Source organism: Homo sapiens, chromosome 22 (assembly GCF_000001405.40).
Source record: "Homo sapiens chromosome 22, GRCh38.p14 Primary Assembly".
Taxonomy (NCBI): Eukaryota; Metazoa; Chordata; class Mammalia; order Primates; family Hominidae; genus Homo; species Homo sapiens.
The window spans coordinates 49,638,540-49,657,676 of record NC_000022.11 but is presented as its reverse complement, the minus strand read 5'-3'; the positions used below and the strand labels follow the sequence as shown (position 1 = coordinate 49,657,676).

The 19,137-nt window shown below is 55.1% G+C and overlaps 1 long non-coding RNA gene across 3 annotated transcripts in view, besides 3 other annotated features; it reads left to right on the top strand.

The window, feature by feature from the left end:
* Window positions 80-1,056: an enhancer, noted in NCBI's record as "H3K4me1 hESC enhancer chr22:50050269-50051245 (GRCh37/hg19 assembly coordinates)". NCBI's record gives its function as "activates a minimal SCP1, AML or CMV promoter by ChIP-STARR-seq in primed H9 embryonic stem cells {active_cell/tissue: H9 hESC(primed)}" and the evidence as "EXISTENCE:reporter gene assay evidence [ECO:0000049][PMID:30033119]".
* Window positions 117-656: an enhancer, noted in NCBI's record as "active region_19278". NCBI's record gives its function as "activates an Ori minimal core promoter by ATAC-STARR-seq in GM12878 lymphoblastoid cells {active_cell/tissue: GM12878}" and the evidence as "EXISTENCE:reporter gene assay evidence [ECO:0000049][PMID:35858748]".
* The window catches only part of MIR3667HG (MIR3667 host gene), a 242,996-nt gene continuing 224,016 nt past the window's right edge, over window positions 158-19,137 (top strand). For all 3 annotated transcript variants that reach the window (NR_110522.2, NR_110523.2, NR_171025.1), the window contains exon 1: window positions 158-272. This is a non-coding gene — a long non-coding RNA (MIR3667 host gene). The remainder of the gene's footprint in view (window positions 273-19,137) is intronic.
* Window positions 10,246-10,986: an enhancer, noted in NCBI's record as "H3K4me1 hESC enhancer chr22:50040339-50041079 (GRCh37/hg19 assembly coordinates)". NCBI's record gives its function as "activates a minimal SCP1, AML or CMV promoter by ChIP-STARR-seq in primed H9 embryonic stem cells {active_cell/tissue: H9 hESC(primed)}" and the evidence as "EXISTENCE:reporter gene assay evidence [ECO:0000049][PMID:30033119]".

The following is a 19,137-nucleotide window of genomic DNA, read 5'->3' as shown; positions in this document are numbered from 1 at the left end:
CACCCAAATCTCAGGAGGAATTGTAATTCCCAGTGTTGGAGGAGGGGCCTGGTAGGAGGTGACTGGATCATGGGGGCGGAGTTCCCGTTGCTGTTCTCGTGATAGTGAGTTCCCACGAGATCTGATGGTTTAAACGTGTGCGGTCCCTCCCCCTCACGTTCTCTCTTCCTCTGCTCCGCCATGATGAGAAGCGCCTGCTTCCCCTTCCCCTTCCGCCATGATTGTGTTTCCTGAGACCTCCCAGCCACGCTTCCTGTACAGCCTGCAGAACTGTGAGTCAACCAAACTTCCTTTTAAAATAAATTACCCAGTCTCAGTTAGGTCTTTCTAGCAGTGTGAGAACGGACACGTAGAGGGTGTGAGAGCCAGAAGACTTTAAGGAGAGGGACGAGCTGGGGCCTGGATGCCCGGGGAGGTGGACCTGGACCAGGACAGGTGTCAGCGGGCAGAGATGGGGCAGAGGTGCGGCTGTCTACCCGCGACCGGGGCCATGCCCTCTCGGGCTCGGTTGAGGAGCTGCTCTTCCTCCAGAATGCGCTCGGACGGAACGTTAGGAAGGCCCTGGTGAGTGGCCCCGACCTCCTCCCCCAGGACTGGCTTCTCCGGCCCTCTGCCCTTTCGGGCAGAACAGCTCGTGGCTCTTCCAGGACCTGGGGCTCCATCTTGCAGAACAGCTCGTGGCTCTTCCAGGACCTGGGGCTCCATCTTGCAGAACAGCTCGTGGCTCTTCCAGGACCTGGGGCTCCATCTTGCTGAGGGGTGCTTTCTTGAGACTCCTTAGGGACGATTCTGATTTTCCCTGGAGCTGTACAATGGCGGTTTATCTTTCAAGGTCCCCTGGGCCTGGGCTCCGAGGCAGCCACTTTCCCTGGAGCCCGTGAAGGAGGTTTGGACGCCAGCTGGGCTGCCTGCCTGTGGCGGGGCAGGAATGAGAGCTGGTGCGGCTGGGGCCCCTGGGTGCCTGGTCCTGCTCTCATGACGCCCACCCCTTGAACCCTGACATGGGCGCCCAAGGATTCTCCCCGCAGGCTCGCAGACTCACCTGATCACCGGGCAAGCGCGGGGCGGGCCTGGGGTTGGCTCTGGGAAGCTCTGGAGCTGTGGACCCTGTGGTAACCTCAGTGCCCGTGGCTCACGTCGTGTGCCAGGCAGCAGATGGCGGAGGGTGTCGGGCTCCCCTGGGGTGAGGCTGTGCTGGTCAGGGATGCCTGGAAGGGGGCATTCAGGGTGGCGGGAACAGCGTGGTGGCAGGTGGAGGCCAGGGTGAGGTCCAGGCCCTGCCTCTCCGGGGCTGCAAAGCAAGGCTGTGCCAGGCCAGGCCGCAGGGGCCTGGGGGTCTCTGGTGCTTTGTGGCGCACACCTTTGCCCTTTGCAGCGACTCACGCTCATGCCGTGGGTGGGTTTGGTCTCCTCGGCGGCGCCGTGCTGCGACTCACACCTGCCATGTTACTGGGACATTTGACTTGCTTTTAGTTTTTTCTTCTTATAAACATCTTTGCACATCAGGCGGTTTCTATTTTTTTTTTTTTTAAAGAATGTTCTTCTAGGAAGAGGAGACCAAGACAAAGTGTCTTGAGGTATCTCGGAAAATTGGCTTCTAAAAAGTTGGGCTTCATCTCCTCAATGCTCTCTACGGAGCTTCTGACACCAAGCATGTGGTTACGGCTATCAAATCCTAGGGAATCCCATTTCACCTGTCTTGTTTGCTTATTAATTTGAAAATTAAATCCCAGAGGAGTATAAATGAGTGGAGGGAAACCCGATGCCATATTTGCCTCAGATCGTTTCTATTTCTTTTTAAAGAAAGGAGCACCGCAGACCTTTCCTCCTAAGACGTGCCTGTCCCTCTGGCTGCCAGGTGCCCCGTCCTTGGCTCTGCTGCACGTCCACACTGTACCTGTGCGGCCGTGGGTGACTGGCCATCTTTTGGGTGAATGCTGTTTTAATCTTTGTAAAACGTCATGTGCTACAACTTGCTCTTTTATGTTTTCCAGAACTATCTTTTTGATTCTATAGGTCGGCTTCATTCAGGTTAACCGCAGTTTGTTATTGCACAATATGAAGGCACCAGCGTTAATTTCTGTGCCTTGCAGATGTGCAGGGTTCTCTGTTTCTAGTCGCAGACGAGGCTGGAGTACATGTGACGGTGTGTGTCTCACGGAGCTCAGCGGCAGGGTCTCTATGCGGCCTCCCCAGGTGTTGCACTCACAAGCGACTGCAGACCCTGTTGACGTGTCTCACGGAGCTCGGGGGCAGGATCTCTGGGCGGCCTCCCCAGGTGTCACCCTCGCGAGCGACCGCAGACCCTGTTGATATGCAGATTCCGACACTGGTCCCTGGGCCACACTTTACCCAGCAGAGCTCCAGGGGGTACATCTGGGAGGAAAGTTCCTGGGCTGGAGGTGTGCGTGCTCCCAGCAAACACTGCTCGGGTGCTGGCCAGGATCTTGGAGGTCATCGCCCCAGTGGACGCTCAAGCCAGTTGTGTGCGGGTTCCTGGCTCTGTGAATCCTCCCATCACTCCTATGTCACGCTGTGAAAGTTTTCTTAATTTGCATCTCTCTGCGGTTTAATTTTGGATTTTCAGATGAATAGACAGACTGAGCCGCTTATGATTTTTATTTTAGCTATTGGGGTCTCCTCTTCTGCAGTTTGCCTGTTCATCTGGCCAGATTTTAGGGTTGTTTTTCTTTCACTTATTTCTTTGCAGGAATTCCACATATATCTGGATATTAGTCCTGTTTATGTTGTGTGTATTGCAAAATTTCTCCCAGTCAATGGCTCGTTTTTTAGAACAAATGGTGTGGTTGTTTGTCAGAAAAAACTTCAAATGTAGAGTTAGAGGTATGGAATCTTTTTCTCTAGGATATTTTATTTGTTTTGTTTGAAGAAATCCCTCCCTATCCCATGATTTAAGATATTCTCTTACTAGTCTTAAAGATTTATTTACTAGTCTTAAAGATTTTTTTGATACGCAGAATTTAATTCTGTGTACAGGAGGAGGCAGAGATCTGCTTTTTAACTTTGCTGTTTGCGGAGCCTCAGCACCCCATCCCCTGAGCCCGACGCCATCACGTCTGCCTCTCAGATGAGTGCTGAGCTGCCTCTGGGCTCTTTCATTCCTAGCACCTGACCAAAGGTGGTTAGTTCTGCTAATTGTTCAAGTAGTTCTGGTAATTTGGATTGTTTATACAGATCATTACAGCACCTGAAAGCATTTCTTTTTTTTTTTTTTTTTTTAATTCTTATACCTCTCAGTTACTTTGCTTTTCTAACTGTCTTGGCTATGGCACCCAGCAAACGTTATAGGATAGAGAGAGAGAGAATCTTATCGTGATTCTGATTTTTATGGAAATTCTTACAAAATTTCTCTAGCAAGCAAGCAGTTTCCTCTAGGTTTTGGTAGTTCTTCTGTGTCCATTTAGGCAATTTCTTTCTGTTTCTAGCTTGCTAAGAGGTTTTCCTAATTAGTGGTTGTGGAAACATTGTTTATGCCCCCTTTTTTTTTTCTTCCAATCTGTTGAGCTTGTGGGGCAGGCCGGGTTTCCATTAGCAACCAGACAGCCAGTTTCCACTAACCCTTTACTATAATTCTGACAAACGCATAAGCTGAACATTAAGGAACTGGAGAAGCTGGCGCCTGAGGGGGGGCTGCAATGCCACAACAAACCCGTTAAGACCCTGCCTGGGTTTTCTCAGACCCTGAAGTCTGATCCAACAATAAAAGCATCGTTGGGCCGGGCGTGGTGGCTCACACCTGTAATCCCAGCACTTTGGGAGGCAGAGGCAGGCAGATCACCAAGTCAAGAGATCGAGACCAGCCTGGCCAACAGGGTGAAATCCCGTCTCTACTAAGAATACAAAAATTAGCTGGGCACGGTGGTGTGCACCTGTAATCCCAACTTGGGAGGCTGAGGCGGGAGAATCACTTGAACCCAGAAGGCAGAGGTCGCAGTGAGCCGAGATCGCGCCATTGCAGTCCAGCCTGGGTGACAGCAAGACTCTATCTCGGGGTTGGGGGCGGGGGCGGGAAGGCATCCTTACACATACACCTCCTACCAGAGCCCACTTAAGACTGAGAAACTTTCCAAGGCTCTAGAGAAAGCTTTCCAGACCCCAGACCCTTGCTAAAGATGAGATAGAGATTGAAAGAACAGTCCTGCTGGCAGGTGCAACCCCACACACAGCATGGATCTCAGAGTGTATACAAGCTCTGGAGAGAAACTTGTCACTTGGAGTTGGTCTGGTGAGCTACTCCGACCTCCTCCTTGTACCTGGCTGCTGAAATAAACTCCCTCCTTCCCCAGTGTCTGCATCTCATTATCGGACCTCGATAACAAGCAGCCGGGCCTCGTGCAGCTGAAAACACTTGGACAGACAGTCTCTTTCATCTGCTACTGTAGTGGAATATTCCTATAGGTTTTCTGACACAGGGGCAAAGCCTTCTGATTTATTTATTTATTTAATTAATTTATTTTTTAATTTCTTTTGAGACAGAGTCTTGCTCTGTCACCCAGGCTGGAGTGCAATGGCGCAATCTTGGCTCACTGCAACCTCCACCTCCTGGGTTCAAGCAGTTCTCCTGCCTCAGCCTCCTGAGTAGCTGGGATTATAGGCGTGCACCACCACGCCTCGCTAATTTTTATATTTTTGGTAGAGATGGGGTTTCGCCATGTTGCCCAGGCTGGTCTCGAACTCTTGACCTCAGGTAATCCACCTGCTTCGGCCTCCCAAAGTGCTTTAATTACAGGTGTGAGCCACCACACCTGGCCAGATTTTTAAATAATTCCATTTGCTAACAATTGACTTAGTATTTTTCCCACTTTGGGTCTCCTTCATTCGGTGAGAATCTCCTGTGATTCTCTTCTCTTCATTGTTGTTGTTTTGTATTTCACATGCTGTTTTCTTCTCTTTCTCTCAAAATGGCTTTTTTTTTTTTTTTTTTGGAATCTCGCTCTATAGCCAGGCTGGAGTACAGTGGCGCCATCTCAGCTCACCACAACCTCTGCCTCCCAGGTTCAAGAGATTCTCTTGCCTCAGCCTCCCTAGTAGCTGGGACTACAGGTGCACACCATCACGCCCAGCTAATTTTTATATTTTTAGTAGAGACAGGGTTTCACTATGTTGGCCAGGATGGTCTCGAACTCTTGACCTCGTGATCCACCTGCCTTGGCTTCCCAGAGTGCTGGGATTATAGGAAGTGGGGGCCACCGTGCCCGGCCTCAAAATGGTCTTTTTATCTTTGATTTTTAGAAGTTGGCAAGATGTATCCAGGACTGTTTCTTTCCCCTGTTTATCCTGCTTGGGGTTTGTTGAACTTTTTGTGTCTGTAAGTTAACATTTTCCACCAAATTCTGGAAGTTTTTGGCCATTGTATGGACCTGGCCAATGCACGCCCTTCCCTCTCCACTCCTGTGACGGCCATTGTCCACACGCAGGGTCACTGGCTCTTGGCCCTCAGGTCTCTGAGGCTTGGCTCATTTTTCTTCAACCTCTGCATTTTGCTTTTTTTTTTTTTTTTGAGACAGGGTCTCACTCTGTCACCCAGGCTGGAGTGCAGTGTTGTGATCACGGCTCACTGCAGCTTCGACCTCTCAGGCTGAAGCAATCCTTCTACCTCAGCTTCCCAAGTAGCTGGTACTACAAGTGTGCACCTTCACGCCCAGCCATTTTTTTTTGTACTTTTTGTAGAGGTGGGGTCTCACTATGTTGCCCTGGCTGGTCTCCAGCTCCTGGGCTCAAGCGATCTGCCTGCCTTGGTCTCCCAAAGTGCTAGGATGACAGGCGCGAGCCACTGTGTCCAGCTTTCTCTTCATTTTGAATCCAGCAAATTCTATTGCTGTGTTCTCAAGTTTATTTTCCTTGGCCACCTCCAAAGTGATGTCAAGGCTGTCTAGTAAATTTCTGCTTCATTTATTGCAGTTTCCACTTCTAGAATTGCCATCCATTTTCTCTAGTTTTCATTTCTCTGTTGAGATTTCCCATTTATTCATTGATATAATATTTTCCTGTACTTATACATGTTTTATTATTTGGATATACTTTATTTTTTATTTTTATTTTTTTAAGATAGTTTTTCTCTGTCACCCGGGCTGGAGGGCAATGGCGCGATGTCAGCTTACTGAAACCCCTGCCTCCCGGGATTGAGAGATTCTTGTGTCTCAGCCTCCCAAGTAGCTGGGATTACAGGTGCCCGCCACCATGCCCAGCTAATTTTTGTATTTTTAGTAGAGAGGGTTTCGCCATGTTGGCCAGGCTGGTCAACGGATCCACCCACCTCAACCTCCCAAAGTGCTGGATTACAGGCGTGAGCCACCACGCCAGTCACCTTATTTTAGTTTTTTAAGAACGTATTTATAACAGTTGCTTTGATGGCTTCTTTTGCTAAATTCACCATTTGGGTCCACTTGAAGTCAATGTCTATCAGCTGCCTTTTTTCCTGACTGTGGGTCAACACTTCCTGTTGTCTGACAATTCTGGGGTAAAAAGCTGACGCTGTAGGGAATGCGTTCTAGTGACTGAATTTCCTTGTGTTTTCCTGGGGGTGGTTTTTCGTTTTGCTTGGTAGGTGGTGAGCTGTTCCGGATTCACTCTGCAGACTTGGTGTTCCTGGCTCCAGGGGGCCGTTTCGTCCCCGCTCGGCCTTGGTGGCGCCTTGGGGCTGCCCTTCTCTTTAGCCCGGCTCCTGATGCTCTCCCCGCTGCCTGTGAAACTGGGCAGACATGGGCCTAGCCTTCCCACTGGATTCTTCATGCCTGTGGTTTCTGCTCTCTCAGCGTCTCAGCCAGGGGATGTGCTTGGTTCAACACAGCAGCTGACTCGCGGGTCTGGCCTGTGAGGCTCTCCTCCCAGGAGTGAGCTTCTCCTGGCCTCGCCTGCGTTGCCGCCGGCCCCAGGTGTCTTCCGTACAGTGCAGCTGTGGGTCGGGCTGGGTTTATGCCCAGAATTTGGATCTCACTCTGCGGCTCCCTAGGTATTCCTCACCATGCTCCTGCACCCTGAATGCTCACCTCTGACTCTTTCACCCAGAAAGGTTGTGGTTTTCCTCCACCCTTCTCCACACACAGAGCCGCAGAGCTGGTGGCACCCTCTTTCCAGCGGACGCTCATCCGAATGGACTCCTCTGGCCACCTTTGTGCACTGGGAGCCCCCGGCGTCGTTCAGTCTGTTTAATCCCCTTTCTAGGATTGTTGGTCAAGGAAAGGGCCGTGCGTGCGTCTCACTTGCCTTCCCTTATCTGGAGTAGTCCCAGCACTGTGTTTAGTTTCTGTGGGACAAGGTCCTTCCCCATTCATTTTTTCCAAAGCATTCTTAACAACTTCAGTGTATTTTTTCGAGGTTCAAATTCACTGTTGTGTGGAACTGCATTAACACGAAGGTGTTCGAGTCCGCCTGAGCGCCTCCAGAGCACTGCTTGTGTGATGGTTCGTGGTCTTTCCCTTTAGTCCGGTGGAAGGCCTTGGTGTGTCCAAGAGCCTGAGTTTTTTTAGTGAGGTAGACAGTGTAGCTCTGCGTTAAAGCAAATCAGTTGGGGGAAAAGACTGTTGGTATTTGCATTGGGCTTTGTTAACTTACCCTTGAGCTGAGAGTACATTTCCCATCAAGTTATCTAAGACAACTACAAAGATGCTTACTCTGGATCAATTTCATCCTGGAGTGGCATCCACTTAACACCAGGAGCCCCCGTGCTTTTAGCTGAATAAAGGTCAAACCGTCAGGCGGCTGGATGGACAGCTCATTCATCACTCGGCGACAGACGTACCCAGCGCTGGCCTCCGTGCCGCGCGGGAGGGCCACACAACAAAGGGTTAATGGATGCGGGGAACCGGATTTCACTCGATGAGCACATAATGATGCCTCAGTGCCGTATTTCCATTTTTATTCAGTTTAGAGGATGGATATTTGCGATTCTCAGCTCTAATTACCCCATTTAGGATGTTCGCCTGGGAAACCGTGTCTTGCAGGGGTCAAGACCACCCTTTGCAAGAAATCTTCTCCCTGATTATCTGCAGAAGTAGAAAAAGTGTCCCTGATGGAAACTAAGATGGTAAATTAATAGATGACAGGCCCCTTTCCAATAAATCCCAATAAATCATGTGCATTTTAATCAGCTCCTGTCTCCCATGATGGGGAGAGAAGAAGGTGGCAGGTGACTCTCTCGGCTGCCTGTCCCCCAGTGCCCTCCCTGGCTGTGCCTGGGGTCACCAGCGGCTGAGTTCAGTGTGATTAATTAAACCTGCTGCTTTGCTGCCGTGCCCTCCAACCCAAGGAGCAGATGTTGGGGACTCCATGGGTCAGCGTGTCGTGGATGGGGTGGCCGGGAGGCGTGCGTGCTGTCTACTTGCAGTGGATGAAGACGGGGAAGTTTTCAGGGACTGGAGGGGCCGTGGCCAAGGGGCTCAGTGCAGTCTTGGGTGTCCCCAGCTGCTGGGAGAGTTTTATTTAGTTATTTATTTATTTTTGAGACAGTCTTGCTCTGTCGCCCAGGCTGGAGTGCAATGGTGTGATCTCGGCTCACTGCAACCTCTGCCTCCCAGGTTCAAGCTATTCTTCTGTCTCAGCCTCCCAAGCAGCTGAGATTACAGGTGCCCACTACCATGCCCAGCTAATTTTTTGTATTTTTAGTAGAAATGGGGTTTTACTGTGTTGGCCAGGCTGGTCTCGAACTCCTGACCTCAGGTGATCCACCCGCCTCAGCCTCCCAAAGTGCTGGGATGACAGGTGTGAGCCGCTGTACCTGGCTAAGTTCTGAGAGGGATGTTCTGGACACAGCCCATGATGTCCAGGGGCAGGAAATGCAGACTCCCGGGGGGGGGGGGGCGGGAAACGCAGACTCCTGGGGGCATGGGAAATGCAGACTCCCCGGGGGCATGGGAAAATGCGGACTCCCTGGGGGGTGGGACACGCGGACTCCCAGGGGCGGGAAATGCAGACTCCAAGGAGCTGATGGACACACTGTGTCCCTGTTTCTGTACTGGGGCTGAGTGCTCGTTGGAGAAGCCCCCCCACCCCAAGGGGGAACAGCATCCTACAGATACCCCTCATCCTACCGCAGGCGTATCCCTTGGAAACTCAGGGCACTGAGCCTGTTTCAGACAACACTTTGGGGGTCTTCCATGACCCTGAAGTCTGAGGCCTCTGCAGATCTGGAGAGGATCAGGGTGGGAGCTCCCCTCCATGTGGGTCCCTCTTGGAGCCCCCAGTTATCCAGCCTGTAAGATGGCCTTGGCTTCCTACACCTCTGTGGCCATGCCTGGCTCAGAAGGGTGTCCAGTCTCCTCTTAACGAAGCCGTCAGCAAGGGGTTCTTTTCAGGATGAGCTGCATCCAGGCTGCGGCTCGGCCACGGTAACAGTGTTTCTGTAGCTGAGCCAACGCGGGAGGAGCAAAGTGCCAGACAACGTCCCTGAACACTGACTGGAGGGTCTGGGGGCTGGGCAGGCACCCCTGAGCGGCCCTGGCTTGTGGGCCGGTTACTCATGGGGCCCTCACAGGAGTTGGGGAGGCTCCAGGGAGGTAGGTGCAGGCTGGGCGGGTTACTCATGGGTTCACCGTGGGGCCCTCACAGAAGTTGGGCGGGCTCGGGCCGCATAGATGGGCCGCCCTCCCAGGGGCTGTGGGGGCCCCAAGGCCTTGCGGAAAGGTTTGTTCGCCAACACTACCATCTACCTCTCTCTATCAAATGGGCCCCTCTGGCTCAGCAAAGTAGGTGGGCACCATCCTTAATCTGAAAGGGGCAGGCAAGGGAAAGGCTGAAAGTGACCAACTGTCCTGGAAAGGTGTCCTCATGGGCCCATTGCATCTGCCTGCCCTGCCGCCTGGGGGAGCCCTGGGGTTGGCTGCAGGGAAAGCAAGGTATGTTTCTCAGCCCTTTTTATTTGCGGATGCAGACTCGCCTGTCTCAGGAGGCAGCTGTGTGGACTGGGAGTTGGTGATGCCTCCCACCTCCCCTGGGCCCTCTGGGTTGGGATCCCCCTGTGTTGGGGAGGGAGGAGACCTGTCCCCTCTCCTGCCACTTCCTTCTATAGGGCCTGCAGTGTGTGTAGCTGGTGAGATATACAACCTGGTTTTCCTGGATGAGAGACCCTCTGACGTATACTTCTTACTCCGTCCTTAGTGCAAGTCCCTGGGGCACAGCAGCCCCTTCAGGGTCTGGTTACACTGCAGGCTGGGAGGACACGCAGAGTGGGTGTGGCTCCGAGTGGAGGGGTGGAGGTCGGGTTGCTGCATACACTCACTCCAACATGGTCCAAGGTGGGGCTCTGTCACCTCTTGTCCCCTTCCCAACCCAGCTCCCACGCCCTCTGTCTCCCGGCCCCAGCTCACATCCCAAGGCTCCTGGAAGCCGCCTCTCATTCCTACAATGAGAGATCTGGGCTTGAATCCTGCCTCTGCCTCCTTTCAGCTCTCTGGGTTATCTCTCTTTCTACCTTAGAGCTTCCAGGGCCCCTGTACTACCCCCTATAGGGCATGCAGGTGGGAGGATGGCACAGGAGGTGCTCTGTGAATGTGCCCTATGCCCCTGGGCCCCAGCCTCCTCTGCTCCCTCTGGGCCCTCTCCCTGAGGTTGTGCATGGTCCAGTCCAGCACCTGTCTGCCCCACTCACGGGGACTTGGGGGTGGGGCCTGCCTCAACTGGAAACTCCATGGAGGACTGGCTCCCCTGTCCCTCCCACACCTGGGGGGCCTGGTGTCACAGGGGTGAGGCTCTCGTCTCCCTGCCCCGGGGCTCATTCTCTGAATTCAGGATGACTCAGTTTGTAGAGCCACTTGGCAATGGGAGGTCAAGATGCAGAAGTTACAGTCTGTCTCCCTCCCTCCCTCCCTCCCTCCCTCTCTCTTTCTTTCTTTTGTTCTGTAAAATTCCTCGAAGCACCCTCGATTCAGTCCTCTCTGTTGTTTGGAAGATGATCCGAGTTCTTAGTTCCATGTTGGATATGGGCACACACCTGGCTGGCAGATGCTGTTGGACTTACCTCCTAGGGCCATGTGGCTGGGGTGTGAGGGCATGGGGTCGGCCTCATCTGTGCACACGGGACGGTGATCCCATCCCCTAAGCCCCCAAGACACCACCTGGAGGGGACAGGACAGCTAGAACTGGCCTCACAAACACAGTGTGACCACCGTACCCAGCTACAGGACCTGGGGCATGCAGGGGTGGGGAATGGCAGGGGGTTAAGAGTCCATGGACCTGGATTCAACCCTCATCCAGGACAGGAGACTCTGGGTGTGGCTTTGACATGGGACCTAGGACAAGAGCAATGGCTTCCCCAGGCCACGGTGGGCACTTGTGGGTTCCATGCTGTGCTGGGCTGGCGCGGGACTCCTGTACTTCCCATCAAGCTTGGGCAGCTCCAGTAAGGTCAGTGGACCTGGCCATCAGCCCCATGTTACCAACTCTTCTGCCATCGTGGTCCTGGGGGCGAGGCTCTCATGTTCCCTCCACCCCAGACCGAATGGATTGTCCCAGAAATGCTGTTATTCCAAACACATATTTATTCCACGCATTAGGTTGAGAAAGTGTGGTCTGTGCTTGCTTCATCCATCTGATAATAAATATTCCTAATGTATTCCTACCTGACACTTGAGCAGGTGCGGAGCAGGGTTCATTACCACCGTGTCCCTTCCAGCATCCCTCACCATGACATCCTGGCACCGCTGGTTTATTTCCTGTGGACCGCTGGTTTATTTTTGTTTGTGGACCCTGCTTCCATGACCAGGGCCTGATTCATGGTGCTGCAGATGGGGGCCATTTGCTCTTTCCAGGGTGCCCTGGCGGGGCTGTCCACAGCGGGTGGCATTGCAGATTTGAAAAATAACCAGGAGAATATTGGGCTGCCCTCTCTCTCCCCTAGCACATTTTTGAAGCACTGTCACTCTTCCCCTTTTCTTTTGGGAGGAGAGGTTCTAGGCATCAAGGCTAGGTGTTTCTCCGTTCTAGAAATTCCTTGATCTTCTAGGTTAATGGAGAGGTTTAACAGCAATATTAGAGACCAGCTGCCCTCGGGCCGCTCCTCTGCCACACGCTGCTCTCTGGGTTTGCAAGCACTATGTCACTTCATCCTCTACTAGCCCTGATAGCACCACATCCCCCAACTGTCCTCCATCCCTCATTGCCCATGGACCATCCACTACCCACCTGTCATTCCATCTACCCATCCATCATCCACTATCCACTCACCCACTCATCATTCCATCCACCATCCCCCATCCACTATGCACCCATCCACCATACACCATCCACTATCACTCGTCATAACACCTACCCAACCGCCATCCACCATCTACCATCCACCCATCATTCCATTTACCAATCCACCATCCACTATCCACCCTTCTACCCATAATTCCATCCATCCATCCACCCATCCACCATCCACCCATCATTCCATCTACCCATCCACCATCCACTATACACCCATCATTCCATTCACCCATCCACCATCCACCCATCATTCCATCCACCCACCCACCATCCACCCATCATTCCATCCACCCATCCACCCATCATTCCATCCACCCATCCACCATCCACCCATCATTCCATCTACCCATCCACCATCCACCCATCATTCCATCCACCCATCATTCCATCCACCCATCCACCCATCATTCCATCCACCCCTCATTCCATCTACCCATCCACCATCCACCCATCATTCCATCTACCTATCCACCATCCACCCATCCACCCATCATTCCATCCACCCATCATTCCATCCACCCATCCACCATCCACCCCTCATTCCATCTACCCATCCACCATCCACCCATCATTCCATCTACCTATCCACCATCCACCCATCCACCATCCACCCCTCATTCCATCTACCCATCCACCATCCACCCATCATTCCATCTACCTATCCACCATCCACCCATCATTCCATCCACCCATCATTCCATCCACCCATCATTCCATCCACCCATCATTCCATCCACCCATCCACCCATCATTCCATCCACCCATCCACCATCCACCCCTCATTCCATCTACCCATCCACCATCCACCCATCATTCCATCTACCTATCCACCCATCATTCCATCCACCCATCCACCATCCACCCATCATTCCATCCACCCATCCACCATCCACCCATCATTCCATCTACCCATCCACCATCCACCCGTCATTCCATCTACCCATCCACCATCCACCCCATCATTCACCCCATCATTCCATCTACCCATCCACCATCCACTATCCACCTATCCACCTGTCATTCTATCTACCTATCTACCATCTACCATCCATCGGCAGAAGGGCAGGAGGGCTGTGAGCTCAGGGCTGGGCTGTGGGTGCAGGGACTGCCCATGATGAGGTCTCTTCGATGACCAGGGCCTCGGGTGGCTGAGGTTGACTGGAGTGGGCAGAGTCAGAAAAGCCTAAAACCCCACAGAATGCCTGGCTCGCTCTCTGTCCACATGGCCCGCCTGGCCCCCATGGTGGTCACCATCCTCCGTCCCCACACCCACTGACCCACCCCCATCTCCAGACCCACAGTCTGTATGCTTGTCCAGGCATCCAGCTGAGCTGGGTGGGCAGAGGGGTCAATGCTGGGGGTCAGGGTGAGCAGGGGATGCACTTTGGCCCTGGAGGGCGGAGCTTGTTGGGGACCCAGTAGGTGCCCAGGGGCCAGGTCTGGTGGCCTCTGTGGGGGTTCCATGGGTGGAGGGAGGTGAGCCTGAAGGCTGTGGGGCATCCCACCAGGCAAGGCCGTTTCTGGAGTCTTCTGGAAGCTCTGGGCCTTAGGATGGGGTGGGGGCAGGTGTGTGGGCTGCAGCAGGTGGAAATAGGACCCGGGTTCCTGTAAATCAAATGGGCGGCGGCATTGCTGGTCAAACCCAGTTCCAGAGCGAATTACCCAGAGCTACAGATGCAGTGGGAGAAGCCGAGGGCCTGGCTGGGACACTGGCCCTGCTGGATGCCCTGCACAGCGCGGAGGCAGCCTGGAAGGACAGATGGCCTGGGACGCGTCCGCAGCCAGGTGAGTGACTGGCCCTGCTGGATGCCTCACGCGGCGTGGACACAGCCCGGAAGGAGAGATGGCCTGGGACTTGTGTCAGCAGCCAGTTGAGTGACTGGCAGTGCTGCCCACGCCTTTGGCTGGGTCACAGGGACCCCTGCTCACCCCAGCTACCCAGCTGGGAGCTTCCGCACCAGCCTGAGCTGTGTGAACGGCCTGGAAGGGAACTGGGCCTGGCTCTTGGCTTCGGTCATTTCTCAAATGCTTTGCTCCCCAACCAAATATGGCTGCCTGCCTCCCCATTTCAGCTGTGCAAGGATTTGATTTAGAATTCCAGCAGCAGGAAATCAGAGATGAGTCTGAGAACAAGGGGGCATTGACGTTGGGCTGGGCAAGCCCCTGGGGGGGCATGTGGGTGCCCAGTGCTGCCGGGGGAAGGAACTCACACCTGGGTCAAACTGTGTGTCCAGGGGGTACTGTCTTCTTCCTGTGGAGCTCCAGAACCTGGGAACTGGGGCAGGGCCACTATGGGCCACCCCTCTGCTGTTTGGGTAGGGAAAACGAGGCCCTGAGAGATGGTGGTCTGCTCCCCAGCTGGCGTCCACTCAGGCTCTTTGGCACTGAGTGAGAGGGCCTGCCCTTTGTGGCTCGAGCCTCTAGGAGGCTTGGGGCGCCTCTCAGGGAAGTCTGGATCTGCAGGCAGGAGGGACCATTGCCTGTGGGAGGCGGGACCCAGGGCTCTCTGTCCAGGCCCGGCCACAGGGTTTGCTGACCTCTCCTGAGGACACTGTCCCCGTGGGAGGGGCGCGGCCAGCTGGGTTCAGAACCACAGCTGAGGGGTGGGTGGGGCTGCTCCAAACTCCCTGGTAGGTAAGCATTGGTGATGCTTTCATGAGGATCAGAGGCCTAGCAGCTCAGGCCCTTGAGCAGGGTGCTCAAGCTCTATGTGCCTCAGTTTCCTCTCCTGATGTCCTGGTACCTGGGAGTCGCTGGTCATGGGTGTGTGGGGACTGATGGAGACAGACAGATGAGCCTGTGCTGGGGTGATGGAGGAGTTGGCAGAGGGGACCCCTCAGTTCAGCCCTGACACAGTGTAAATGCGGAGCCCAGGCTCAGGGGATGGCCACCTGCCAGCACTTTCTGTAAATACCCTGAGTCAGTCACTCACGCTTGGCCCAGGGGCAGGCGGCACATCCTCATGTACTGTCAGCACTGCGAGGGAACTCGGGCGCCACTAGATGCCCAGCCCTGGCTTCCCTGGGAGCTCAGGTTCCAGACACCAGACAAGGGGGTGCTGAGATCCAGCTGGACTGGCCCTATAGGAGGCTGGAGGGCAGTGAGTCTCAGAACTCCACACTGAGGTGTTCACACCACTGGGCAGATCTACTGAAACCATCAACCTCCCCTAAAAACGGGGTCCTGTTTACTCCTTGGGCCCTTCCCTCCTGTCCCTGCCTCTTGTGCAGGTGACACCCCCCACACACAGGGCCACCTGTGCTGTCCAGGAGCCTGCCTATCTGGGGGGAAGGTGCCAGGCGACTCTCGAGGCCGGACTTCAGGCCTGTGTCCAGTAGGCTGTCCTGTGATGGGGGCTGAGTGCTGGCCCTGGATCCCCCCTGGACCCACAGACAGTGGTGGGCTGCCCAACCCCTCCTGAGGCCCTTGAGCCTACGCGCCTGGGCTGAGTCTCAGCTGGGCCCAGGGGAGCTGGATCCTACTCGCCTAGGGGAAGTTTCCAGGTGGCAGGTGGACCCCTGCCAGGTAACACAATCGCACCAAGGGACTGAGAGCAAGGTGCTGGCCTTGAGCAAGTATGAGCTTAAAACGTGACCATCCTTATGTATGTGTTTAAAACGCCACCATCCTCACGGCTCAGATGGCACTGTCCTGTCTGATCGCCTCCCTTCCCCCAGCATGCCAGGTCATTTCAAGAAACTGGATTTGAGGCTCACATTCCAGGTGTGCACCATTGCCTGGGTGAGGGTGAGCCCAGGAGGGATGAGCGTGTCCTCCCCGCAACATCTACACTGATTATTTTACCTGATTGGATTCCCGGGCCTGCGATGGGGCTTCTCGCTGTAGTGTAGTTGCAGGAATGCCTGGGGACCCTGTGTGGATAGATCAGACATGGAGCAAAATACATTTTCAAAATTAGGGTAATAAGCCCTTCCAGTCCCACTGAGCAGAGGAGAGGAAGAGAGGCTCCATCTGGCTTTTACTGTCGCCCAGCCAGTCCTGTGTTTAGGAACGTCACAGAGGGACAGCATGGGTGCACCTTTTCTGCTTGCCGACTGTGGGGCCAGGGCCCTCTGGGGGCCCCAGGAGGTCCCTACTAGAGTCTCTGGCCATGATGGAGGAATCTGGATGCTCGTCTCCGGGGCAGACGAACTCTCTTCTGAAAGGCGGTTGTTTGCATTTCAGGTGGGATTTCCTGGGGACACCGGAGCAGACATGATGACAGTGCCCTTGTCCCTGGGGTGTCTGTGGGCAGGCCCCAGCTGCAGCTCCCACACACGTCTGCACCGTCCTGCTCCCGAGCACAGGGTCTAGAAACAGGAGGGTGTGGGCTCTGTCCTGGATCAGCAGGTGCTGATGGGGGCTTCTGTGGGCAGGCGTCTTGCAGGCCCATGGTCAGGTGCAACCGCCAATGCCAATTGATTGACCAATCTAGGATGCATCTTCCTCTGACCAAGATACGGGCCGGGCAGGGAGGTGCCAGCCTGTGGAGGCTGGGGGTGGGCCTGGGTGCCTTTGGCTCCTCCTGCAGCCTGTGGCCTGGCCTTGGCTCTCTCATCCAACCGTGAGATGTCCTCATCCGCGGTGGGGCTGGAGGAGCTTGCGATGCTGCTCCAGTGCCTTGTGCGTGTTGGGACCACTCCGCATCCTGCCAAGTCGATGGCGGGTGTCTTCGCACTCCCAGCTTTGCTGGGCAGGAGCTCCACACCTGCTGGCCAGAGTTGGCAGAACTGGAGGCCTTGGCTGGCCCACATCCCCTGCCAGGCTCCCGACACTGCCATGGGACCCTGGCAGCCTGGAGCCGGTGGCTGTGGGAGAAACTCTCAGACACAGGTGTGACCCGAGCGTCCTGGCCTGGCCTGCGGCATCAGCCGGTGAGCAGCTCCAGTGTGCTCAGCAGTGGGGAGGTGTGGGCTCTGGAGGGGTCGGCACGGCAGGCCCTTGACCTCCGTGCTGTGGCCACAGGGCTCCTGTGTTGGCTCAGTGGCAGTCTCCACGCTGTGTCCTAGAGGGTGGGCTGGATGGGGTGGCAGCCCAGTGGTGACACGCAGGCCTGAGGGAGCCCCCTCCCGAGACCCGCACCCTCTGGGGGCCTCAGTGCCATGGGGGCTGCCTGTGCCTCTTCTATGGTGTCCCAGCCACGGCACCCAGCCACATGTCAGCTCTGGTCCTTATTACACGACACTGGCAAAGGTGCCTCTGCAAGATCTGAGGAGAGAGGGGCCCACTGCAGGGCCCAGAACCTTGGCCTCCTGGAAGCTAGGCTGGGGCCAGTGGACCAGGTCGACCTGTCGCATGGCAGCCCCACCCCTCTCCCAACCTGTCCCCACGGCAGCCCCACCCCTCTCCCGACCCGTCCCCAGGGCAGCCCCACCCCTCTCCCTACCCGTCCCCATGGCAGCACCATCCCTTTCCCGGCTGGCCTCTGCCTCCTCCCTTTAGTTGCCGTAGGCCGGATGCTCATCCTGACTCTGGGGGCTGGGGGCCCTGCACGTGGCTCACTCTGGGTAAGGACCCTAGAAGGCAGGTGGGGTGGGAGCTGCCCACACTGTGAGGGCAGCTGGCTCCCTGGGAAAAGCTTGATTCCCCCTGGACCCAGCTGGCCCCAGACCTAGGCCTGGAGGGGCTGCCCTCCTGGGGGCCTTTACAGACTGGGGGTAAGCAGACCCTATCTGTTCTGGGACACGGCCTCCCCCACATGACTTCCCTGCTGACCTGCTGACATTCCGGTTACTTCTGGCTGCCTGTGGCATGGGCACCAGCCACCAAGGACCTCATCCTAGGCCCTGCACTTGGGAAGCAGATTTGAAGTCCGACCAGGGCCTCTGTGTCTGGAAGCCAGATGCATGTCAGGGTGCCACGGAAGCCACACAATTCCCATGTGGTGTTGTGACTCTGAACGGGCAGAGGAGGTGCAGAGGGGCTGTGGGTCCTGCCTGGGGGCTCCAGGAAAATGTTAGGATATGACAGGCCACCTGGGTTTGAGGTTGTTTGGCAGATGAGAGACACCAGGCAGGGAGTTCTGGAAAGACAGACCCACCCATGACAGGCTGGGAGGCAGGGCGGGGTCCGAGGTGTTCTGGGGTCGGGGTCCTGGGGTGTGGGTGGGGTAGGAAATGACAGGGGTAGAGAGGGGGCGTGAGGGCAGGGGGATGGGCACGGGGCCCTGGGACTCCTGAGGTCCACCTGTGCTGGGTCCCTGCCCCTCCCTCCCCAGGAGCCTCTGTGTGGCTGCAGGGAAGGCCGGACTCAGCCTCAGTCCCTGCCAGTCTTTGATGGCAGAGGCTTAGCTTGATTTAATGAGCTCTGCTCTTTGTCTTTAAACCCTATCAAATGAATTGATTGCTTATTCTGAGATCTATGGAGAGAGCTGATTTGAATAATCGTGGTGCGACCGCCCGGGTCAGGGGCGCTGGCGGCCACTGGCGTTCCAGGCAAGGCCAGACTGCAGATGAAGCGGGCTTTATCCGGCCTGTGGCCTGGGCTGGTGCCAAATGATTCATTCTTTGCCAGGACCAAAGGACACTTGATCCGCCTTTTCAAGCCTGACATTGAACAATTCAAATCAATGGATGGGATTACCGGCTGATAGAAATGGGGGTTCTCCACGCTCAGAGAATGACAACAGGGGCTGCTGGGGGCTCCGTCCGCCCGAAGAGCCGTGCTCGGGAGATGCGGAGGGGAATGAAGTGGAGCAGGCTCACCTTTGGACGTTTTTAATGCATTATTTCAGAGTAACATATTCTTATTTTAATTAACTTTTGATGTTTCTGAGCTTTCAGTTATCCACAGAGCCGAGAGAACCACTCCGCCGGCTGGAGCAGGCTCTGTGATCCTAGGATGTGTTGTGGATACGCCTTGGGGCTCGTCACAGGCTGCTGAGCCTCAGTTTCCCTTCTCACAGAGCCTCCTCTCTGACTGATTCTTGCGGTG